Raw genomic sequence first — 26,912 nt, forward strand, 5'->3', positions numbered from 1 at the left:
AGCATCCTTATTTTGAGTCACATCTGCCCTATTTCTCCCTTTATATGGCTAATTCCTTGAAGATAGAGACAAAAATTTGTCTTCCATATATTTAATGTCTCCTAAGACAGGTAGAGAAATGTTGATAATTGATTAGTGAGAATGCCACAAACTTAAACTATGGCTCTATGATTTTGATAGACTAAATGTAACTCCAGTTTGAAGTAATTTCAGCTATCTTAGCTTCAAATTAGACCTTTCTCCCTAAAACACTGACAAAAGAATTACTGTATTAGGGCCTTTAAAAATAAGACTTCTATTTATACAATCACTATTAAATTTTCAAAAATATTTTAAACAACCATTTTTTAAAATGTAATATTTTAAAATATGAGTAGCTTTTGGAGTATGAGTGGTTTTCGGTTACATGGATGAATTACATAGTGGCGAATTCTGAGATTTTAGTGCACTCATCACCTGAGTAGTATACATTGTTCAATTATTTAAAATTCAGTTGTTCAAAAATTATATGTATTTCCAAGGCATCTTATAATTTTTTGTAATTTTTATAATCCACATTAAAATATCGAGATTTGATAAGCATAATAAATAACATTGGGATTATTTAATACCTAATTTATATTTGACTATATAAATATGGAAAATGTTACTTTTTACTTTTAACTACTAGTCTAATTATGTCTATAAATAATGCCTTCATTTAATAAGAGCTATACCTCATCAAAGAGATCACAAGATCTATAAGGAGGACCTCTTTCTGAAACAAAACCTGCAAATGCCATTCCACTGAGTACTTTAGTGAGGAAATCATTCTCGACCAAACCACGCTGCCCCAAGAATGCTGTCTGTGAAAAAAGAAAATGTGAAATAATAATTTATCACTTGGTAACGGACAAATGGTCAAAACAGAAATACAATAAAAAGATCAAAGCCTATATAAATCCCTTCATGTATAAATATATGCTGTCATAAAATATATTTCTCTCAAAGAGAGTTATTCTGAAATACTACATATATTGAAAAGAATAAAAATGAATCTGTCTACATGTCAGGAGAAGAAATCAGAAATTAACATTCAATTTTAAAAGAAAAATTGATTTAAAGTTAACATATTCTAAGATATTATGAGTTCCATATTATTATTAAGAACTGATATCTAACCACACAGAGATTTTAAATAATCACATTTGATAAATCAAGGTCAAAATAAATGGCTCGGAAAAAAAACCAAGTAGTTTTATTAAATTAGAATATATTTTTTGGACAGATACAATATAGTACTCTATCTTACCTTGTGGAAATGTATTACTGGCTCTGCATGAATTCTTATAAGTTGCAGGCAGGATCTATATCCTTGGAAGAGTTGTGCAAATAATCTAAGGAAAACGGCTCGCACCTCTTTATCCTAAAAATATAAGAAGAAATGTTAGGTAATTTAACTTTTTAAAAACAAATGAAATATCAAGTCAAAAAGGTGAAAAGGGCATATATTCCAAGTCCTTTGATTTTTATATCCACCAAAACAATTACAGTCACAACCAAACATAAGAAGAAAAAACTCTCAAGATTGTATTTAATCCAGCTTTTATTGGAATCACAGTTTAGAACTGTAAGGAAACTTACAGATTCTGTTAGTCAATGCCTTACTTAATTGATCAGGAAATGAAGGTCAAGAATGCTTAAGTATATGTGTTCAGCTCCCTGAGGTTCCTTATTGGCTACAAAGCCCACTGCTAAGAAATGCACTGAGCAAAATAAAAAAGGGGCCTCTGTTATATACGTAACCTTTTATGGCTTCTAATTGAAACTATTTTCATCCACAGACTCTTCAAACTTGATTCTCTCCTATAACCAACATTCTTTATATCCATTCTTGTAAGCATCTCTTTTGTTTTGAATCCTTGTGTGGCCATTTCAATTTGATGCTTGGCACAGTTTTCCAGGCTATAATCTAGGCTCTGATTTTCTGTCCTACACTTAACTCATGCCTCCTCAGGGCAACAGTCTTAGCCCTAGTGGCCTCTTGCCCAGTGAACTTCCCTGTGGCTCCTCCTTGAGCAGGACATAAGGACAGTCAGCGGCAAGTATCCTAATTTCTAATTTGGGGCACTTTTTACTCTGCTGTCCATCTAACTCTAACTTCACTTAGCTTCTTTAACAACCCTATAAATAAAAATACAGCTCTCTTTAACAGCATTAAATTTAAATATTAAACTTCTTACCAGCATTTTTGAGTGGGATAAAGCTGTTCGTGGAGGAGGAAAAGCATGATCTGCTACTTCCAAATCTGGGTGTAAAATCTAAAGCAAAAAAGTTTTGTTATGTAAAATATCATAATATCAATGAAATCTATTATTGAGACATTAAGATGAAAATGTCAGCATATGAATTATAATATATTCCCTCCATGAATACAATTCAATTAGCTGGGGTAGTTCTATATGTACTATTGTAGAAAGATCTCCAAGACAAAATATTCAGTTGAAACATGTTCGGCCGGGCGCGGTGGCTCACGCCTGTAATCCCAGCACTTTGGGAGGCTGAGGCAGGCAGATCACGAGGTCAGGAGATCGAGACCATCCTGGCTAACACGGTGAAACCCCATCTCTACTAAAAATACAAAAAAATTAGCCGGGCGTGGTGGTGGGCGCCTGTAGTCCCAGCTACTTGGGAGGCTGAGGCAGGAGAATGGCGTGAACCCGGGAGGCGGAGCTTGCAGTGAGCCGAGATTGCGCCACTGCACTCCAGCCTGGGCGACAGAGCGAGACTCCATCTCAAAAAAAAAAAAAGAAAAGAAAACATGTTCTAGAAAAATACACATAGTATGGCCTAATTTATTTGAAAATAAAACAAAATAAACCCTAAATCTATATATGTACATATATATATATATATGAAAATGAAAAGTTCTGAAAAAAATACACTAAACTATAAAATAGTAGTCATTTCTGGTAAGGGAATAATCTAGGCCAGAGCTATTTGTCTATATAGTTGAATTTTTAAAAACAGCTGCTTGTTTTTATGTTTCTAAGTGTAATTAAAAATTACTGAGGAGAGGCCAGGTGCAGTGGCTCACGCCTGTAATCCCAACACTTTGGGAGGGCAACGTGGGTGGATCACTTCAGGTCAGGAATTTGAAACCAGCCTGGCCAACATGGTAAAACCCTGTCTCTACTCAAAATACAAAAATTAGCCAGGCATGGTGGCACATGCCTGTAGTCCCAGCTACTTGGGAGTCTGAGGCAGGAGAATAGCTTGACCCTGGGAGGCAGAGGTTGCAGTGAGCTGAGATCGCACCACTGCACTCCAGCCTGGGCGACAGTTATAACAAGACTCTGTCTCAAAAAAAAAAAAATAAAAATTACTGAGGAGACAGAAAATAAGATTTTGAACTTTGCAGTCTAGACAGGTGAAAGTATAAAACTATGTCACAGAAGTGCAAAAATATATAAAGTGCAATACATGAAATGTGTAATTAATTCAACTTAGGGAAGACTAAACAAAAAACAAAGTAACATTTGAGTTAGGCTTTGAAGGAAAGCAGGTTGGGGAGCATCTGGGAAAGAAGGACCTGTGAAGGACTTGCACAGAGAAGATGAAATTATATCAGTATGTAGCAAATTTTCTTCTTGCAGAATCATTTTCAACTACTAAGATTTTTGATGCTATGCTGAGAATAGACCAAAAGACTCAAAGCAACACTTAAAGGCAACACTAAAATATTGGCAGTTCAAGTCACTGAATCACTACCACAGTACAAAATATCTTAGTGTCTACAAAATAATCCATATTACACAGTTTAAGTACAGTGTTGCCATTTGATTATAATTATTTACGAATGAAACAAAGCTTATATACTTGTGTGTCAATGCTCCCAATCATCCATGAAATTTAGTCTCTTTTTGGTCTAGTTTGACAATACATTATGCTCCTATTTCTTTTTTTCTTTTCTTTTTTTTTTTTTATTTTGAGACAGAGTTTTGCTGTTGTTGTCCAGGCTGGAGTGCAACGGCGTGATCTCGGCTCACTGCGACCTCCGCCTCCTGGGTTCAAGTGAGCCTCCTGTCTCACCTCCTGAGTAGCTGGGATTACAGGTGTGCACCACCACACCCGGCTAATTTTTTGTCTTTTTTTTTTTTTTGGTAGAGACGGGGTTTCACCATGTTGGTCAGGCTGGTCTCGAACTCCTGACCTCAGATGATCCGCCCGCCTCAGTCTTCCAAAGTGTTGGGATTACACGCATGAGCCACCGCACCCGGCCGTATGCTCCTATTTCTTATTCACAGTACATTAAGTAGTATCTAATCCACCACTGTGCTTAGTAACTATAACAATACGTATACTCAGTTTTACCAAAAAGGAATTTTACACATTGATCAAATTTGGTGGCACGGGTGTTGCAGGTTTAGGTATACGAGTATGCAGCAGAACCCTTACCAGGAGCCATTGGCTTAAGAAGTACAATCTTAATCTTTGTTAATTTTGCTACTTAACCCCTAAATAACTATTCATATCACTAGTAAGTAACCACACATAAGATTTAATCACTGTAGGAATTCTAGAAACATTAAACTTTCTTCAGTCATTCAAATACTACCTTCTCAGCTTTTGCTATATCCATATACCATCTATGCAATTATGTAGTTAATATTTTTCTTTAAATTGTCTTTAAATCAACTCACCTTCTTTTTTTGTTTATTTTGTTTTTTGAGATGGAGTCGAGCTCTGTCACCCAGGCTGGAGTGCAGTGGCGCAGTCTTGGCTCACTGCAACCTCCGCCTCCCAGGTTCATGCTATTCTCCTGCCTCAGCCTCCTGAGTAGCTGGGATTACAGGCGTGCGCCACCACGCCCAGCTAATTTTTGTATTTTTAGTAGAGATGGGGGTTTCACCATGTTGGACAGGCTGGTCTCGAACTCCTGACCTCGTGATCTGCCTGCCTCGGCCTCCCAAAGTGCTGGGATTACAGGCGTGAGCCACCGCACCCTGCCAAACTCGCCTTCTTAAACCCAGTATTTTCTTAGATGATAGTTGAGCAATGACAGGTTCTATATGCTATTTTAAGTACACATTATAATAAAAACATAATTATTAAAATAAAAAAGGTTGACCACATATTACCCCAAATCATCACCATGCTTCATTTTGGCAAACAATCACCTAGTCATCTCTGTAAAAACATTCAACCTACAGGTAAAGACCAGGAGACAGCCTAGAGATAAAAATGTGATTCTCAATAATACCAAGTGGCAGAACACAGACTGGAATTCAGGTATCCTGTATCCCACACTAGTGTCTTTTGCACTCTATCACATCTTGCATTTCAGATTACAAATTATATAAGGAAAAGTCAGTCTTCTCTAACTGTTCCCATTTCATAGATACCACCATGATAACAAAAAGACTAACACAAATTTGAAAGTTTTCTGAGAATAAAATCCCTCCTGGTAATCCTAGGCTTCTAAGTTTCTATTTAAGAGGGGAAAAAATGTTTTAAATAGCCCAGAATAAAATATTCTTAAAGTAGACTATTAAGGCCTTAGTTCTAGTGATATCTTGAAAAGCAATGCAGAATTTCTACAGTTCAATTTTCTGATCATAAGCACCTAAAAGGCTATCAGTAAAACAAAATACTGTTTTCAAAATTTGGCTAAGGTAAAATAACTGCAAAAAAATTTAAATTTGTTTCAATGAGAAAAACCCAAGCCACAAGATTTTTTAAAGCTTTATTTGGCTTGAATGTAGCATATACTTCTTCTTTGGTATTTCTATTCATATGGCATTAAGAATGGAATGTTGGGCCGGGCGCGGTGGCTCACGCCTGTAATCCCAGCACTTTGGGAGGCCAAAGCGGGCAGATCACGAGATCAGGAGATCGAGACCATCCTGACTAACACAGTGAAACCCTGTCTCTACTAAAAATACAAAAAATTAGCCGGGCGTGGTGGCGGGCGCCTGCAGTCCCAGCTACTCGGGAGGCTGAGGCAGGAGAATGGTGTGAACCCGGGAGGCGGAGCTTGCAGTGAGCCCAGATCGTGCCACTGCACTCCAGCCTGGGCGACAGAGCAAGACTCCGTCTCAAAAAAAAAGAATGAATTTTGGACACTTTATGTATCAATATGACACATCTTTCTGTAATAACCTGAAAGTATTGGCAAGACAATATTACAGTGTTTTGTAGGTACCAAAGAGGAATGAGATGCCAATAGGGAGGTTAGAGAAGAGAAGCCAACATCTAATGGGGGATCTTAGGGGAATCAGGGATTTCAAGGCAGAGCCTTGTTTTCAAAGGTGAATTTCCAATACCTAGGACAGTACTAGGTCCTGTATGCTGAATGAAGGAAGGAATGTAGAACAAATATTCAGTTAGGATCCAAAATATATGCTTTAGATAACTACCTAGTAAATGAAGAATTCTAAATACTGTATGAGATTATGTTCATGTTTCAAATATATAGCTCTCTTTAAATTAAAGTAACAAACTGCATTGACAAACATTTTTAATTTTAGCTATCTTAGCTTCAGATTTAAATAAAGAGAAAGTTACTATTACAAAAATATGTCATACCAAAGAAAGAGCTGATTGAGTCTGATGTAGAAGTGGTTCTGGGAGGGAAGAGAGGTGAATACATTCGGGAATTTTAATAGTGCCTCCATCCAAATCTGCTATGATTACATCTAACTGAAAGAGATAAAAAAATTAACCTATAATTACCAAAATACATTTGTTGTTAAGCAAATTATTTTTCCCTTGACTAATTCAAAACGAGAAGAATCAGATGTGGAAGAGACTCTTGTTTGTCCATAGTAGTAGAATTCTGGGCTAACAAGTTCCCACCTACCCTGTATTTCCCAGGTTCCTTTGAAATTAAGTGTGGCATGTGGCTAAGATTCTGCCAATAAAACATGAGAAGTGACATGTGTTTTCCTGTCCTTCAAGACAGGGGATATGTAAAGCTCTCCTATGCTGTCTTTCCTTTTCCCTTAGACTGAAATTATTAACTGGCAGCAAACCAGCCTTCAGCATACACATGATGACAATGCCTGGGAGGATTCTGTTGGAGAAACAAGAAGGAAGGAAACTTGGATCTTGAGTGACTTCATAGAGCAAACTGGTCTGGCATAATGGAACATCTCTATGGACTGCTGCATGAATGTTCGATAACACTTTATTTTGTTTGAGCCATTGCATTTTGTTCTGATTTTACTATATATGCTGCTGCAGCAAGCACAGAGGATTGCATTTGAGACACTTTATTCAAGTAGTTTAGTAATATTCTAAAAAAATTAGTATTTATTATAAGAATTAACAATTAGTATACATCAAAAGGGTGCTGTTTAGCCACTTAGAAAAAGCTGATCTTTAGCATTTTACAAAAGTCTATTTAAAAATAACTTACATAAAAGTGTAAGAGAAAACAACCAAGATGAGTGAAGTTGTTATATTGACAATATTATACTTCATTCTAATTTATTCATTACGATTTTAAGAAATTTGCATTTGGCAACACTTGGTTTGTCCTACCTCCAGCGACTGTTTTTATTTATTTGGCAACACTTGGTTGGTCCTACCTCCAGTGACTGTATGTATGTATGTATGTATGTATGTATGTATGTATGTATGTATGTATGTATTTATTTTTGAGACAGAGTCTTACTCTCGCCCAGGCTGGAGTATAGTGGTGCAATCTTGACTCACTGCAACCTCCACCTCCCAGGTTCAAGTGATTCTCCTGCCTCACCCTCCTGAGTAGCTGGGATTACAGGCATGCACCACCACACCCAGCTAATTTTTTGTAGTTTTAGTAGAGACAGGGTTTCTCCATGTTGGCCAGGGTGGTCTCAAACTCCTGACCTCAGGTGATCCGCCTGCCTTGGCCTCCCGAAGTGCTAGGATTACAGGTGTGGGCCACCGTGCCTGGCCTCCAGTGACTGTTTATATTTAGCAGAAATAAAATTATGTACAAACCAGGTGGATATGCTTCTAACTAGTATTAATTAGGTTTTATTAAATGTTTATTGATTTACACATATTTTTATACAGTGATACCAAAATTAAATAGGAACTAAGTATCAACATATAAAGTTAGAAAGAATGATGACTATACGAATGAAAGTCCTGCTTATAATTATAATGTTAAATAATATTTTGTTAGTTTAAATGACACCTCTGATTTGGTTACAACTATAATTACTTCTTTGCTGGCATTTAAAACTAAAACAGAAGAAGAATTACAAAATCTTAGGGATCTGTGGATCATAGATGCTATGCAGCCTAACTTTACAGTGAAGAATTTTTCTCAGGCTCTCTGAAAAGTGTCACATAATCTTTTCCTTACACTCTACTTACAGTGCTTGAGAGTACACTCCTCATCTCACATAAGGAAATCCATTCCATAACCAGGCAGTTCTAATTGTTGGAAACACTTTTACTGGGCAGAAATCTGTTTCTATAGCCACTTCATCCACTGATTTTATTTCAGCCTTTTAGAGTTACAAAAAATGAATCTCAACCCTTCTTCTATGACAGTAACTTAAATACTTACTTTTACCTATCAAATAGTATCAGATTATTACCTGAGAAAATTTCCTTAGGCCCTTACAGAACATAGTTTCTAAATACTTGATAATCCTGGATGTCCTTTTCTGATGTGCTTTATTTTGTTACAGTCCCTCATAAAGTGTGATACACAGAACTAAATGAATTATTCCAGAACTGGCTTGAATATAGAGTATACTTTTGCTTCTTCTATTCATATGGCATTAAGAATACAAAAATTTCGTGGAAGCTCATACCAAACTTCTGTTCCACTAAAACTCTTCACTCTTTTGCATATGCTTTCTGCTTTGTTAGTTATCAGGAATTTGGTATCAAGACACGTCTCACTTCAAAATATAAAACAATTATGCACTAATATCAAAAGTATAAATAGAATTTTATCTTTTGTCATATGTAAGATGAATAATAAAGATAAACAATGTACCAAAAGAGGGATATTTAAAAATATTAATAAATTCCTTTATAAAACCTCCTATACTTGCTATATGGCAAAATTAATATACAGACTTTTCAATGATATTTTTCTTCTATCCAATCTTTTCTACTGGAAATGCTACAGATCTGAAAATAGTGATGAGTTGAAATGTTATAGGACCCAAAGAAATATGATAAACTTCTGGACTCAATAACTGGAAACTTTAAAGATGAATACTTACAAGTTCATGGACATCAGTTTTAAAGACAGAATGTACTCCAATAATGAAAGGCGTTGGGGAACTTAGAACTTCCAGTAGCTGAGCCGGGAGAATAGGGATATAAGGATAACTGGAAATAATAAAAATATGCGTCAAATATATTTTTCTTTAACATAAACATATCTTCTTTCATCTTTATGCTGTGTTAAGTTTTATATTACCTATGTTTAGAAATTATCAATAATGTTTTCATGCTTTTTAATACTAAAATTTTGGAAAAAATGATTTAAAAATCTTCATGTGAAAGATACAATCAGATATAAGACATAAAATAAATGGAATCCAAGCCTGCTTCCTTAACCTTTGTTTCTTCTAGGCAAGCAGTCTCTTTAGGTCTTCTAGTACTGTTTGAAAGCATTTTTCCTTACATAGAAACCCGACATTAGACAGTAACACTGACTCTCTGATAGGGCCTCCCCTCTCAGTATGAGGCAATGATTTATCTATACAAAACAAGCATTCAAATTCCACTTTCTATACTTGATTTTTGCATTCAATAAGAATGGCAAAAAAAAGGGGGGGGCCAATAATTACCTTATCTAAAAAGTTAAGAAAAGCACCTAAATTAAAAATAAATTTTTTTTTTTTTTGAGATGGAGTCTCACGCTGTCGCCCAGGCTGGAGTGTAGTGGTGCGATCTCGGCTCACTGCAAGCTCCGCCTCCAGGGTTCACACCATTCTCCTGCCTTAGCCTCCCCAGTAGCTGGGACTACAGGCGCCTGCCACCATGCCCGGCTAGCTTTTTCTATTTTTTTAGTACAGACGGGGTTTCACCGTGTTAGCCAGGATGGTATGGATCTCTTGACCTCGTGATCCACCCGCCTCGGCCTACCAAAGTGCTGGGATTACAGGTGTGAGCCACTGCGCCTGGCCAAAAAAATTTTTTTAAAGAAATTCTGGAGTCTAAAATTTTATCTAGTTTATATGAACTAATTTCCCAGATGTTATGATTATCAATTGATTAAACAGTATATTAGAGGTATAATATTCTAGTTACAGCACTATTAGTCATCACTGTTTAGATTTTATTTTGTTTTTTAGTTTTTATTAGGAAAAAAATTTTAACATATCCCATAAAAAAAACAGAGGAAAAAATTACAACGAAGCCCTGCAGTAATTGTCAACTTTGAGAATTACCAGTGCACGGCTACATATATATTTCTACCCACTTTTTTTCTCTCTACTGTATTATTCTCAAGCAAATACCAGATGTCATATTGTTTACCCATATAATACACTTCAGTGGGTATCTAAGAGAGATAAGAGCTTTTTATTAATAGAATCTCTATCATTATAACTTCTAAAAATTAATAATTCTTTAATATCAAATAGCATTGACTAGACATTTATGCCAATTGTGTTAAAAGTTGCTGACAATACTATTCAAATTAAATATTTTTACACTAATCAACATTCAGTAATGGACAACTTGGAAAGTCTCAAATTCTAGACTAGATTTTATCAGAACTATGACTCATATAACAGCATAACTTTGTAAAATATCCCTATGTGGTTCAAAACCATTGTGCCATAACATTATGACTTATCAACGATAAGTGATATGTAGTTTAGGAATAAATAAAATTAACAAATGAAAACCTCACCTATATTTAAGAGGAAACATTAAAGATTCCAGGGCTCTACAAGCATCACTAAGTCTCTGGAAACTTGCAGAATGGAAGAGAACCTTATTTTCTGTGAGGACTGCACAAAAGAGGCTGAGGACATTTTGAATTCCTGAAAACATAAGAGCAAGGACTTACAAATGCATTTAATTTTATATGTGTTGTCAACAATCATAGACAGTATACACGGAAAGAAAAAGCCAGTAATTTTGGACTCTCTGAAGGAAAATACTTGGTTAAACTGTAAATTCCATATAATCTATGAGTATTTGTTTTCCCAAACTTTCAGTTTTGCCTTTATTCTTCAAATCAGGTAACACTCATTGAACATATTAGTTGTTTGGAAACACTATTACCTTCTTTTCAATTTCATCTCTAAGGCCTGTATTTAGGTTCCTGTTTTAGAATGCTAGCATTGTTCTAAAAACTAACCCCTGCAGAGTCTGTTTGTCTGACGTTAATAATACCACACCAGCTTTGTTGTTGAAATTTGCCTACTATATCTTTTCTCATCTTTTAATTTCAACCTTTCTCTACTTCTTGTAAACAGCATACACAAATGCTCCGCAATTTAATGATAGGGTTACGTCCTAATAAACCCATTGTAAAGTTGAAAAATCTTAAATTGAACATAAATCAGAGACTGTAACTGAAATATTTTTAATCCAGTCTGACAACTTTTGTCTTTTAACTATTTCATTTAATCCATCTATACTTATTGTAATTATTGAGATATACACTATATATAGAGATAAATGTGGTATCTTATTTTATGCTTTTTCTTTTTCTTTTTTCTTTTTTTTTTTTTGAGACGGAGCCTTGCTCTGTCATCGAGGTTGGAGTGCAGTGGCACGATCTCAGCTCACTGCAAGCTCTGCCTCCCGGGTTCATGACATTCTCCTGCCTCAGCCTCCTGAGTAGCTGGGATTACAGGCGCCCGCCACCATGCCCAGCTAATTTTTTCTATTTTTAGTAGAGACGGGGTTTCACCGTGTTAAGCAGGATGGTCTTGCTCTCCTGACTTGGTGATACACCTGCCTCGGCCTCCCAAAGTGCTGGGATTACAGGTGTGAGCCACCGCGCCTGGCCTGGTTTTTATTTTTTCTATCTTCTCTTTTTTCCTTCTTTTCAATTTCTCCTGTCTCTTCTTTCATCCCCTCTGTTAGTATGGTATTTATAAACTCTTTTTCTATTTTTTTAGTGGCAACTCTAGAAAATACGATATACATACTTATGAAATTGAAGTTATATATATCATTTCTTATTTTCTCCTGTTTATTACTGAACCAAATTATCTTTCTTTATATCACTTCAACTTTAATCATACACACCCGGTAAAGCAAGAGTCCCCATTTGTTTTCTCAAGGTAAAATACTATATTTTCCCTTTATCATAGCTTATTTCTTCATGTGACATGCAAATTTCCTTAGTCTATTATTAATTGCTATTCCCTCTTATCACTTCCAACTTATCCCATGTGATACATCAGAATTTTTAGTTCAGATTTTAATCTTCATTCATTTTCACTAATGTAATAGTTTCGTAAGTGATTTTCCTAATCCAGTCCTTATTCCCTTCAAATCTACCCTCCAGATAGTTTCTAGAATAATGGAAAAAAACTAAATAATGATTAAAGAAATCTAAATACAATTTTCAAGTGGTTTTTAAAATTCATATTAAATCCACAAGAATAAATGCTACAAATTTTGCAAAAAATATTCTTTTGGCTTTAACATGAATTTTAAAAACCCACTAAGGTTTTGGTACACTTAAACAACAGTGGAAATGAATGAGCTAGTATTGTATGTATTATCATGACTAACTCTCCCAAGTATAATATTGAGTGAGGGTAGTAAGGTGCACAATGATTATATAGCTGTGAAAAGAAAATAAATCTCAGGACCCCCAAACCACCAAGCCAAAGGGAAGTCAAGCTAGGAACTGCACCAGGAAAACCAACCTCCATTTTATTCCTAAGTAAGATAGCTACAAAAATTAAAAAAAAAAAAAAAAAAAAACAAACTACATACCTCCCATACCTCCCTCACAACCTGCCCACAAGGAAATTCCTTGTGGACAAAGGACAGACAAAACTCAAAGTCATCCCTGTACTCCTGTGAGACAAATGCATATCTGATTTCTTCCTCTGCCCTATTGTTTCACTAAGCCAGACTAAAGCTTAAGTGACTATTCCTCTATCTTCCTCTCACATGTAAATTGTGTATTCAGTAAAAGGCTAATCAGAGACTCAAAAGAATGCAACCTTTTGTCTCTTATATACCTATGACCTGGAAGCCCCCTCCCCTGCTTTGAGCTGTCCCGTCTTTCCAGACCCAACCAATGTACATCTTATGCATATTGACTGATGTCTCACTGTTACAGCAGGTAGCTAGCCAGACATGAGCAGGGAAGGAGAGGATCCCCCACCCCCATGCCACCACCAGGAATGTCAGGCAACCATCAGGTGATGGTCAGGTGATTATTAAACTGTCTCTCTAAAATAATAATTGGTCATAGCTGATGCCACAGAAAGGCAGTCTTCCAACAGACAGAAACATCAGAAACTGGTGATCAGCAGCTTCCTGATAAAATCTCAGGAGTTGGCGAGCGGGCTCATGCCTGTGTAGTTAAGAGGCAAAATGGCAGAGTTTAACTGGTATATGACCCTCTAGGAACATTTGGACTGGTAAAGGAAGAAAGCCTCCAGTGAGCATGCGTACAATTCCAGTAAACACACTGCACATGTGCCCCCTACCAAATGCTGACAGGCCTTTGTGCATGCGGAGTGCCCACCCCAAGGGAAGAATCTGGGGAGGAGAGATGCAAGACCCCGGACACATGACAACATATAAAATCCCGAGTCAAAGCTCAAACAGTGCACTTGATCTCTCAAGTTGTCTGCTTGGCCCTCTTCCAAGTGTACTTTACTTCCTTTCATTCCTGCTCTAATACTTTAAAATAAACTTTCACTCCTGCTCTAAAATTTGCCTTGGTCTCTCACTCTGCCTTATGCTCCTTGGTTGAATTCTTTCTTCTGAAGAAGCAAGAATTGAGATTGCTGCAGACCTCTATGGATTTGCTGTCGGTAACATACTTTGGTGCTGTGATTTGGATACATTCCCTAATGTTAACATACTTTGGTGCCACGTGACTCAAATATGCTTCCTCAGTGGTAAGACATCTCTATGCCTCAACTTCTTTGGCTGGAGGTGTTTAACCCCTGTACACAGTTTCGTTTGCTCTTTTCATTCTTCTGCTTACTAACCAACCCCCAGAACAATTCTTCTCGGCCACAGTGGCTCTGTTCCTCAAGCTCATCTCTCAGCTCCTGCTGATGTACGGTAGCTCACAGGGGTAGGAAGGACCTTGGAGTCCTTCCCAGGTAAGATCATTGACCTGAGACACAATGGCTCTCCTAGACAAGAGGTTCATGAGAGTGGTAGGGCTAAAGCCTAAAACCATGCAATGTCTGGGGTTTCCTCTGCTTTTTCAACTCAAATTGGCTCTTTTCCAAAAACCCACACCACCTATTCTCCTGTTTTCTCTGTATGTATTCTGAAATGGCCTTGTACACCCTCCGGACCGTCCACCTCGAGGCAAGTCAGCCTCTTTTGCTTTCACTTTGCATGCCATGTAACTGTTATTTGTACACCCTCAGCTCTTGCTGAATTTGTGCAGCAGCAAAAACATGGGCTCCCTTGTGGCTATCTAGAGACTTAACACTAGTTTTTACCTTACCAGCTCAGATGACCTCTAATCCTGCCTCTGTCTGTTGGTACATTGCCAGGACAGACACTAATTGGATCCCCAGTCAGCTCCTTATGACTTACCATATGCTTTTTGTTCCTGTTACGGTCCAGGGCTGAGTTTTCCGGTGGCTTTTGAAGTAGTTTTCCACCCACATAGGGCCTCATTCTAGCCCTTTAAGGACCCCACTTACTTGCTTTTTTTGAGTTAGCACCCCTTCGGGAGGAGGGGAAATTCTTCCTTTCCCATTTGTGAGTTCCTACATCAAGCCCTAAGTCCTCCAGAGGTTACCACTTTATGTTAAGAAGACAAATAAATGTTACCCTCTCAAATCCAAGGGATGCTGTTTTTGGAAGCATAAGAAGGCTTTCCATGATTATTCCTCTGGCTTCCTCCCACTTCCTCCTGGAGCTTCCATTTCTCTAATCACTTCCATGCCCTTCTCAATATTGATCAAAATCTTCAAGGTCATATTTGAAGGGAGGGAAGTTCAGCCCCCTTGCAGCAGTTAGCTGAAAATCAAGCTTCTTGTCTAGTTAGAGAACAAAGGAAATGGGAATCTGAGAAAAGGGATAATCATTTTGTTGCAAGAATGCTCCAAGTTGAGAGTCACTGGAAGGTCATGGAGGCAAGAATATAGGATGGCCCAAGGCCGTCGGCACAAGAGACCCATACGACAGACATGAAGGCTGGTCTCGGGTTAACAGATTATCATTATAACAGAGATGAAGGCAAGGTTAAGGGTACGTGGTAAGACCAGTTCATTCTGGAACCGCACGGATGAACAGGAGAGGGCTCTCTGTTCTCTCTGGTATCTCCTCTGTGAAAAGGGCGTACCGAAGTTAAGGGTACATGGTAAGATCAGCTCATTCCAGAACCCTAAGGACAAATAGGGGATGCCCTATTCAGGATAATAGGAAGAGAAGACGCTTTCTTTTTTCTTTTTTTCTCATCTATTCTCTCTTCACAGATGGGTAACTGCATCTTCATACCACAGAACACGCCCCTCAGATGCATTCTCAAGAACTGGGAAAAGTTTGACTCCAAAACCCTAAAAAGGGAAAGGCTAATATTTTTCTGTAACACAGACTGAATTGAATACAAGCTCCACGACCAGGAATCTTGGACAGAAAACCAAAATTTTAATATGATCTATCAACTAGATTTACTTTGCCGCCAGCAGGGAATATGGATAGAAATCCCCTATGTACAGGCCTTCATAGCCCTATGAAACAACCCTGACCTTTGTTGGGCTTGTAAAATGGATCTAGTGATGATAGCTGCCATAGTCAGGCAGCCCCCTCTGGCTGGTTCGGGACACTCCTTATTGGGTTTACCCTGGTTTCAAGCCCCAGAGGAGCAAAAGATGACGGCTCAAACCCCACTGCCCCTTCTACCTCATTATATTCAAGTCTCCCAGGCCCGGAGCCCCTCCATATCCAGGGCTATCCTCTGGACACCACCCTCTTAGGTCACGCCCCCTTCAAGAGGTCAGTAGCCCCAGTGGACCCACTAGAAACCAGACTCCATTCACTATGTAAGGCCTGAGCCAAATTACAACAGAACTATGGGACTTTATGGAGGACCCTGACAAATACATCAAAGGGTTCTGTAAACTGGGATTAACATTTGAACTCACTTGGAGGGATTTCTCAGTCATACTAGGGCAAATTCTGTCTAAGGGAGAAAGTGATTCCATTATGGAGGTGGCCCAACAATTTGCAAATCCAATGCATATGACTGACCCGGGTGGCTACCCTGTAGGAGCCATCACAGTTCCTCCGGTTGACTCCAATTGGGATTACAATACCCAGGGAGGTATATGGGGAAGAAACCGCATGTTCCTCTGGTAGAAGGGATAAAAGCTAGCAGAACAAAGGCTGTGAACTATAATACAATGGCCTTAATAGATCAAGGCCCTCTTGAAAACCCCATCACTTTCACAGAGAGGCTACAAGAGGCCCTAGTGAAACATACTAACCTAGACCCAGAGACATCAGAAGGGCAACTGGTCCTACAGGACCGTTTCCTAACTCAGGCAGCCCCAGATATTCAGAGGAAACTCCAAAAGCTAGCACTGGGCCCCAATACCCCTATGCCTGATGTTCTCAAAACAGTTGCCTTGGTCTTTTACATCAAGGACCAGAAGGAAGAAGAAAGGGCTCAGGAAAAGGAGAGGCAAACGGAAAAGTGGCAGCTCCAACTATTGGCTGTCTTACAAGTCCACCAGCTCCCTCCAATTTGCCCTAGGAATATCTTCCCAAATAATTGCATTGGTATGAGAAGCCAGGCCACTGGAAGGCCAACTGCATCAATGGGACAGATGGGAAAAAGCCTTGCATGGCTTGCCCCCTCCACCACAAGCTTGGCAACTGGAAATAGGACTGCCCTGAGGGCTGGAGGGCTCCTGGGAGAGAATCCTTTGTCTTGAGCTGAGGGGGGCCTACAGTCCAGCTGGCTCCCAGATCAAACATCACTATTGAAGGGACAGAGCCAAGGAATGCTTTGCATGTGGCAGGTAGGACTATAAGTTTTCTTTTGGACACTGGAGCAGCCTTCTCAATGCTTACCTCTTTTCCTGGGCAATTATCCTCCAAATCCTGCCAGATAATGGGGATAAATGCGGTGCACATAACCAGGAGGTTTACTCCTCCTTTGTGCTGCCTATCTGGGGGAACTGTCTTTTCTCACTCATTTTTAGTGTTGCTAGAATGTCCCATAGCCCTTTTGGGTAGAGATATTTTATTTAGACTAGAGGCTCCAGGGCAGACATCCCCTTTTTGAACTGCGATCTTATGCCTCAAGGAAACCACACACAAGGGTGAACTGCCCATGGACTGTCTCATTAATCCAGAGGTCTGGATATGTTCCTATTGTCATATATAACATTTAAATATGTTACAACGGCAAAACAGTTAAACTTATTGCTTTCTATATATTTTTATTTATTATACTTTAAGTTCTGGGATACATGTGCAGAACGTGAAGGTTTGCCAAATAGGTATACCTGTGCCATGGTGGTTTGCTGCACCCATCAACCTGTCATCTACATTAGGTATTTCTCCTAATGCTGTCCCTTCCCTACCCTCCCCACCCCCTGACAGGCCCTGGTGTGTGATGTTCCCCTCCCTGTGTCCATGTGTTCTCATTGTTCAACTCCCACTTATGAGTGAGAACATGCGGTGTTTGGTTTTCTGTTCCTGTATTAGTTTGCTGAGAATGATGGTTTCCAGCTTCATCCATGTCTCTGCAAAGGACATGAACTCATCCTTTTTTATAGCTGCATAGTATTCCATGGTGTATATGTGCCACATTTTCTTTATCCAGTCTATCATTGATGGACATTTGGGTGGGTTCCAAGTCTTTGCTATTGTGAACAGTGCTGCAATAAACATACGTGTGCATGTGTCTTTACAGAATGATTTATAATCCTTTGGCTATATACCCAGTAATGGGATTGCTGGGTCAAATGGTATTTCTGGTTCTAGATACTGGAGGATCATCACACTGTCTTCCACAATGGTTGAACTAATTTACACTCCCAACAAGAGTGTAAAAGAATTCCTATTTTTCCACATCCTCTCCAGCATCTGTTGTTTCCTTTTTAATGACTGCCATTGTAGCTGGCATGACATGGTATCTCATTGTGGTTTTGATTTGCGTTTCTCTGATGATCAGTGATGATGAGCTTTTTTTCATGTTTCTTGGACACATAAATGCCTTCCTTTGAGAAGTGTCTGTTCATATCTTTCACCCACTTTTTGATGAGGTTGTTTTTTTCTTGTAAATTTGAGTTCCTTGTAGATTCTGGATATTAGCCCTTTGTCAGATGGATAGATTGGAAATATTTTCTCGCATTCTGTAGGTTGCCTGTCACTCTGCTGATAGTTTCTTTTGCTGTGAAGAAGCTCTTTAGTTTAATTAGATCCCATTTGTCTATTTTGGTTTTTGTTGCCATTGCTTTTGGTGTTTTAGACATGAAGTCTTTGCCCATGCCTATGTATTGGTATTGCCTAGATCTTCTTCTAGGGTTTTAATGGTTTTAAGTCTTACATTTAAGTTTTTAAGGCATCTTGAGTTAATTTTTTTAAAAGGTTTAAGAAAGGGGTTGAGTTTCAGTTTTTTGCATATGGCTAGCCAGTTTTCCCAACACCATTTATTAAATAGGGAATCCTTCCTCCATTGCTTGTTTTTGTCAGGTTTGTCAAAGATCAGATGGTTGTAGATGTATGGTGTTATTTCTGAGGCCTCTGTTCTGTCCCATTGGTCTATGTATCTGTTTTGGTACCAGTACCATGCTGTTTTGGTTACTGTAGTCTTGTAGTATAGTTTGAGGTCAGGTAGCATGATGTCTCCAGCTTTGTTCTTTTTGCTTAGGACTGTCTTGGCTATACAGGCTCTTCTTTGGTTTCATTTGAAATTTAAAGTAGTTTTTTCTAATTTTCTGAAAAAAGTCAATGGTAGCTTGATGGGGATAGCATTGAATCTATAAATTACTTTGGGCAGTATGGCCATTTTCACGATATTGATTCTTCCTATCCATTAGCATGGAATGTTTTTCCATTTGTTTTTGTCCTCTCCTATGTCCTTGAGCAGTGGTTTGTAGTTCTCCTTGAAGAGGTCCTTCACATCCCTTGTAAGTTGTATTCCTAGGTATTTTATTCTCTTTGTAACAATTGTGAATGGGAGTTCACTCATGATTTGGCTGTTTGTCTATTAGTGGTGTATAGGAATGCTTGAGATTCCTTTATGCTTTTTTAAAAACTAAGAGAAGAAATAAAAAAATACACATATAGTCTATTTACCCACAGATTTCCCATTTCTAGTGTTGTTTGTTCGTGTGAAATCGAATTATTAACTAGTCTCTTTTTCCTGCAGTCTTAAGGATTTCCTTTTGTTTTTATTTTTTATTGTTTTTTTGAGACATAGTCTCACTCCATCACCCAGGCTGGAGTATAGTGGTGCGATCTTGGCTCACTGCAACCTCTGCCTCCCAGGTTTAAATGATCCTTCCACCTTAGCCTCTCAAGTAGCTGGGACCATAGGTGTACACCACCACATCTGGATAATTTTTGTATTTCTCTGTAAACATGGGGTTTCGCCATGTTGGTTGTGAACTCCTGGGCTCAAGTGATCCACCCACCTCAGCCTCCCAAAGTGTTAGGATTTCAGGCGTGAGCCACCACGCCTGGCCTTCCTTTTGTATTTCTTATAGAGCAGGTCTACTAGCGATAAATCTGTTTTTGTTTACTTGGAAATGTCTTCATTTTATCTTTGTTTCTGAAAGACAGTTTTGCCAGTGACAGAATTCTTGTTTGGTATTTTTTTCTTTCAGTGCTTTTAATATGTCACATCAATGCCTTCTGGCTCCCGTTCTTTCTGTTGAGAGACCCGCTGCAATAATATTATAGTTCTATTGATTCATATAGATGAATTATTTTCTCTTGCTGTTCTCAAGGGTTTGCCTTTCACCAGTTTCACAATCATGCTGTGTCTACATGGGGATTTTTTTACTGTTAACTTGGGCTTCATTGTGCTTCTTGGGTCTACAGGTTAATGATTTCAACAAATTTTGCTAAGTTTTTGAGCATTATTTCTTCAAATACGTTTTTCTAATCACCCCCATATGCATCCAATGGAGATGCTCTGTACCTAAAAGGTATTATTGTCTCAAAGGTCTCTGAGAATCTGTTATTTTTATTTCAATCTTTTTCTCTATGTTTTTTATATTGGATCATTTCTATTGGTCTTTCACCAAATTTTATTGATTTTTATTTCTGACATCTCAAATGTGCTGTTAAGCTCAGCTAGTGAATTTTTTGTTTCAGTTATTTATTTTGAGAAAGGGTCTTACTCTGTTGCTCAGGCTGTAGTGCAGTGGCATAATCACAGCTCACTGCAGCCCCAGCCTTCTGGGCTCAAGCGATCCTCCTACCTCAGCTTCCTGCATAGCTGGGACTAAGGGGTGCACCATCACACCTGGCTAGTTTTTTATTTTGTAGAGATGAGTTCTCACTATGTTTCTCAGGCCGGTCCTGAACTTCTGGGCTTAAGAGCTCCTCCTGCCTCAGCCTCCCAAAGTACTGGGATTACAGGTATGAGCCACGATGCCTGGCCTGTTTCAGTTATCATACTGTTCAATCTATAATATCTATTTGGCTCTTTTTCAGTTTTTACTTCACTACTGAAATTGCCTAGGTTTTTGACCACTGTCATTATATTTTGTCTTAATTCTTTCAATATGGCTACCATTAATTCTTTTAGCATATTTATAACAGCTGATTTAAAGTCCTTATCTGCTAAATCCAGTATGTGCGCTCAAAGTCAGTTAATACTATTTTTTTTTCCCCTGAGTATGGGTTACACTTCACTGTTTGAATGCCTCTTGCTTTTTGGTAAAAATTGGACATTATAAATAATATACTGCACTAAATTTGAATTATATTTTTTTCCTGAAAGCTTTTTTTTTTCTTTGAGAGGGTGCTCACTGCTTTAAGCTGCAAAATCTGCTTGTAATGTTAGGCTGCTGATGTCTGGTTTAAAATTTTTTATTTTTATGGTTTAGCTTGGCTTCCTAGGGGTTATCCCTGTGTTTGCATGGTTCACTTGGTCAGTCCATAATTTGGGCAGAGGTTGTACTCAAATACCTTGAGCCAATAAAGCTTCTACGTACTGCTGACCAATTTTGCATGGGTTGGAGCACGTTCATAGTTTAGCCAGATTTTAAGTATGCTTTCAGTTTCAGACATGTGCATAGTTTCCCAGGCAGCCAGGCATGTATAGAGACATTGTCTAGTTCTTCTAAGACTTTCTCCTCTTCACAATTTCTCTGTTAAATTTCTGGCTGATGTGCCACTAGCCCCAACTATGACTGTAATTCAGACAGGCATCTGACGTTTTTCTCCTTTCATCTCCTACTGGTTTCAATACTTTTACCGATAATGATGCCATGGGTTTTAGCCCTCCATCCCAAATAAATTCCACTCCATCTGGTAGCAAAGCTGGTTTTCTACCCAGCCCTACTCTGCCACTACCAGTCTCACTGACAAAGCTGGGATGTAGGGGAGAGGGGGCAACCACCAGATAAGAATGCTGCAGACTCCTGCTGTTTTTACACAAAGTTCTAGCATGAATAAATGTTTCCAAATTTGTCATTTGCTTTTGGTCAATTTCCAGAGCCCTGAAATTGTTGTATTCAACAACTTTGTCTAGTTTATACTGGTTCTTTGGGGGAAAGGATTTGCTAAACTCTTTGTACTGTCTTTGGTGATGTTAATTTTGTCTCCTAAATTTTGTCCAATGCTGTCCAATTTCTCCAATGAATACTTATTATTTTTCCTGCAACTAAAAAGCAATCTGTATCAAGACACTTTAAGACCACGTAAATATCTCATCTCTCACCAAAATGCCTGGCTAGATTTAGCATCTACTGATAATTTCTGCCTGAATAGATCTTTACTATAATGATTATAATTTTCCAAATGCAGCACTCACTCTGTATTTCCCAGTCAGCACTTGGCATTCTACATAGCAGAGTCCTCCTTTTCCTCTACTTACTTGCTCATTCATTCATTCATTCATTATCAGTGTGGACTCATAAATATCTACTTTTTCCTAACAGTCTGTAAGTCACTACTGTCCTTAATTTTTCTGGTGCTAAACATGTCCTAGATTTATGCAGTAGGAGCCCTTTAACTTAGTTCCTGTGTCCTTGAGACAGAGCTCTTTTATTTTTCCAGGCTCATATTGTACTTACCCTGTCCTAGCCCTAGTCCAACCATTTCTCCTAAGAGTCCTGGTTCTCTTTGGTGAGAAATGGTATCAAAGACCAAAATTTTAGGTGTTAGGGCATGTGTTAGATCATTTCTACTGGGGTGACTTTGCTTCTAGGCCACTTTTGCCTATAGATGGAGCTAGGAAATATATGCATGTACATATATACATACACATACATACATGAGAACATATACATGCATATGTATTTGAGAAATCCTGAGTCTATGCCATTACTTTTAATTCCATTCCATCCCCACAGGGTATCCCTCACTATCCCAATTCATATTTGTATGTTCCTTCTTCCACTGAGAATGCTGGAACCTAATAACATCAACATACTTATTCATTTGCTAAATCCTGTATTACACATAAAAGAGCTTCAGAATTGTTTCAGCCATTTCAACTAAAAAAAAAAAAAAAAAAAAAAACGAAAATGGAGTTCACTATTTGTTTGCAATTCTCTTCCCAAAACTGTCCAAAGCTGAGTTTGTACAGTCAAATACTCATAAGTTACTAAAGTAACTTAGTTTTTTTTCCCTCTTCAGTGTGGTTACATTATTTGAATGACAGTAGAGTTTGTTTACATATGCTTTTAATTTTAAGGTAATATTTTCTTTCCTTTCTTCTTATCCTAATTGAATTTTTTAATATATGTAAGACACAAATATGCTACCAGAAGTCAAAATAATACAAGAAGATACACTTAGGGAAGTGTCATTCCCTCCCTCAATTAATAGTACTGTACCAGGCCTGGTGCAGTGGCTCATGCCTGTAATCCCAGCACTTTGGGAGGCTGAGGTAGGTAGATCGCTTGAGCCCAGGAGTTTGAGACCAGCCTGGGTAACACAGTGAAATCCCGTCTTTACTAAAAAATACAAAAATTAGCCAGGCATGGTGGTGTGTGCCCATAGTTTCAGCTACTTGGGTGGACGCTGACGTAGGAGGACTGCCTGAGCCCAGGAGGTCGAGGCTACAGTGAGCTGAGTTTGCACCACTGCACTCCAGCCTGGGCAACAAAGCAAGACGCACCCTGTCTCAATAATAATAATAATAAAATAATAATACTGTATCAATGTCAGTTCCTGGTATCCATAATGTACTATGATTATGTAAAATATTGTTATAGGAAGGTGGGTACTGCATACATAGGGACTCCGGATGAATTTAGTTATTTCTTGTGAGTCAAACTATTTAAAATAAAGAGTGATACTTTTTAAAGTCTGTGGATGTATTAGTTTTCTATGGTTGCTATAACAAAGTACCACAAATTTGGTGGCTTAAAACAAGACAAATTTATTATTTTACTGTTGTGGAAGTCCTGTGATCAAATTTTCCAGCTTCTGGTGACTTCTCACGTTCCTTGTCTTGTGGTTTCCTTCTATCTTCAAAGTTGACTATGAGCAGTCATACTATATTACTCTGAAGGTAAATCTTTTGCCACCCTATTAATGACTCCTGAGGTTATCGTGGTCCACCTGGGGTGGGAGCTTCCTAAAGGGACTGACCCTTGAGGTAGATTTTGACAGAGATGCATTAGTTAAGGAGAAAAGAAAAGCATAGCATTCAAAGCTGACAGAAGAGTGAGGAAGCAAATGGCATTAACAGACCTACAAGTAATTTGGCCAAAGACAAATTTATGAAGAATCTGTATGTCATGTCAAGTCTAGTCTTTTTAAATGAAGACTCTGGGGAAAAACTTGTCCCTCTTTGCTTTTTTTTTTGAGACGGAGTCTCACTCTGTCACCAGGCTGTAGTGCAATGGCACGATTTCGGCTCACTGCAACCTCTGCCTCCCGGGTTCAGCAATTCTCCTGCCTCAGGTGCCCCCCATCACTCCAGCTAATTTTTGTATTTTTAGTAGAGATGGGGTCCCACCTTGTTGTCCAGGCTGGTCTTGAACTCCTGATCTCAGGTGATCGACCCGCCTCGGCCTCCCAAAGTGCTGAGATTACAGGCATGAGCCACCATGCCTGGCCCCCACCTTGCTCTTATCTGAACACTCTGCCCTATCCCACAAAAAAAGGATAACCGATTTACAAGTAGTTCATCAGAAAATAATATTCATAATCAGTATCATTTAGTATCAGATAAATTGTGAAGAAGGGAGGCCTGCAGTTGTAAGGAACTTTACGTTACTCATATTAGTAAAAACAATCAGTTGATATTGTCAAGGGAGGCAATGCTATACTATATTTACTGAGAGGATATATGTCTCATAATGTAGAAATGAGATAGGAACAATATTCTAGTGCTTAAAGGGTAAGTTTTTCATTATCCAGAAAATTAATAGTATAATACAAAACAATTTACCCAAGCCTAATTGAAATACTACTTAAATTCTTTATTCTTAAATGTCACATGCTTTCTTAAGTTTTACATTATTATTATTATTATTATTGTTTTTGAGATGGAGTCTCGCTCTGTCGCCCAGTCTGGAGTGTAGTGGTGCGATCTCAGCTCACTGCAAGCTCCGCCTCTTGGGTTCACGCCATTCTCCTGCCTCAGCCTCCCGAGTAGCTGGGACTGCAGACACGGGCCACCATGCCCGGCTAATTTTTTGTATTTTTAGTAGAGATGGGATTTCACCGTGTTAGCCAGGATGGTCTCGATCTCCTGACCTCGTGAGCTGCCCGCCTCGGCCTCCCAAAGTGCTGAGATTACAGGCGTGAGCCACCGTGCCTGGCAAGTTTTACATAATTAATAATCTCAAATATTTTAAATTACATTAATGATTTTTATTCCTATGTAGCAGTGTTTGTTGCTGTGTTCACAGTTACATAGCTATTGAGAAATCCAGTTTCTTTTAATTTTGTAAGTCAAAATCAGTTTTCTATATAACTGAATTGTCTCACCTTCTGTAGCCCAACATCCATTCAAAGCTGCACAATAACACGGGAGAAGAAAATATGAAAAACAGACATGCCAGTGATAATTACTAGCGATTTCACTACAATGATACATATACATCCTGTTGATTATTCAAAGAGTAAAACATTCTGAAAGATGGCTTCCTGATCTCAATTTTCTTGAAAGGTTAGAGTTCTAAAATTCATTGCACCACATGTTAACAAATGTATTTGTTTCTTTTTTGGGGAAAGAAAAAAAGAACTTTCTCCAGACTCCTGCATTCTCTGAATAATAATGATATGTTACACAAATAGAAGACTATGTCTCAGCTTTCAAATGGATAAACAGTGGAACTGAAGACCATGTTTCAAAACAGAATATAGTTCAAAAAGCCCTGCACAATTTATTATAGTTCTTTCTGGCCAACCCACAACGGGGAAAACAGTATAGTTCTGGTCACAGCTTAATGTAAGTCATGAAAAAGGAGGTTTCTCATTCACTGAACCAGTATTTATTGTGTACTATACTCCAGACACTAGAATATAGCAGTGAATAAAGACAATATCCTTAACTTCATGGATTAACTAAAACTTTATATAAAGTTTCAAATTTATCACTGAGAGGTAATGTTTACTATCTGTTACAAATTTAGCATTATTTCCACATATGATAGATATGGCAAGTATTCTAAGTAAAAAAGTAAAAAGTGTGGTAAATTGGGCATCTGAAAGGAGGTGTAGTTTAGTCCTTATGAACACAGACTCAACCCCCTGAGTATGACATGAATTAAATATATTTTACACACACAAATAGAGCTTAGCAATGTGGGAGACTAAATATAAGAAGTCAATTACCAAACACATATGACTAAAAATAATTCAAATACATAAAAGGCCAATTCAACCAAAACTGTGTAAAAAGGTGCAGCATCTTTACTTCCTTCTTGAACATTCTAATTGTTTTTCTAGCTCTGAGGTAATAACATCAGATTTTTCCAACCTTCAATGACCCAAATTCCTAGACTATGTCTGTTCTGCTTGACTTGGTTTTTATCTACTTTTAATTCTAAATTTAAGAATTAGGAAGCAAAAGGAGCCTTGTGAGTAGAGCAGCAAGCAGTGGGGAAGAAGAACAGAGAATAACTGGAGAATTATGCAAGGAACAAATAAGAGGGAACTGTCCTGGCAGAAACAACTCTTTTAATTCAAACTTCCTCCTTTCTTTTCCCCTTTCTTCCCTTCTGCCACTATTACATTATTACTGAACTACTGAGATATATCATCAATCATAAAATTCTAGGGATGGATATAAAGAAATATGAGACAGGCTCTTAGGAGCTCACAGTTCAGTGAAGACGAAAGACTGGTAAATAAACGGTTAAAACATAAAATAATAGAGCTATGTATCAAATGTTACAGAGCACAGGAAAAAAAAAGGTACTTCATCCTGCCACCATTTGGAAGCTATGTACTTAAATGTTGGAGTAGCCATATTTTATAAAAATATTAACCACTAAAATGCTGAAAGAGCAAACAGAAATTTTAGACAAGAGAACTTTGTGACAAGGAAGAACGATACCTAATGACTCTCTTGCCTTAGAGCATTTACATTCTTTATAGATAATTCAATGCAAAGATAGAGCTATTTAATATTAGCATCTACG

The 26,912-nt window shown here is 38.1% G+C and overlaps 1 protein-coding gene across 11 annotated transcripts in view; it reads right to left on the minus strand.

Annotated features, from left to right (window-relative positions):
• Window positions 1–26,912, minus strand: part of SBF2 (SET binding factor 2) — a 526,174-nt gene that overhangs the window by 213,031 nt on the left and 286,231 nt on the right. For 9 of the 11 annotated variants that reach the window (NM_001425069.1, NM_001425070.1, NM_001424318.1 and 6 more), the window contains 6 exons: window positions 10,859–10,991; window positions 9,216–9,324; window positions 6,568–6,681; window positions 2,223–2,300; window positions 1,292–1,405; window positions 717–845 (listed from right to left, as the gene is read on the minus strand). In NM_001425069.1, coding sequence (NP_001411998.1) covers window positions 717–845; window positions 1,292–1,405; window positions 2,223–2,300; window positions 6,568–6,681; window positions 9,216–9,324; window positions 10,859–10,991 — 677 coding nt within the window. The remainder of the gene's footprint in view (window positions 1–716; window positions 846–1,291; window positions 1,406–2,222; window positions 2,301–6,567; window positions 6,682–9,215; window positions 9,325–10,858; window positions 10,992–26,912) is intronic. The other 2 variants (NM_001386342.1, XM_047427658.1) reach the window with 1 other exon arrangement.

This window comes from Homo sapiens, chromosome 11 (assembly GCF_000001405.40).
Source record: "Homo sapiens chromosome 11, GRCh38.p14 Primary Assembly".
NCBI classification, from domain to species: Eukaryota; Metazoa; Chordata; class Mammalia; order Primates; family Hominidae; genus Homo; species Homo sapiens.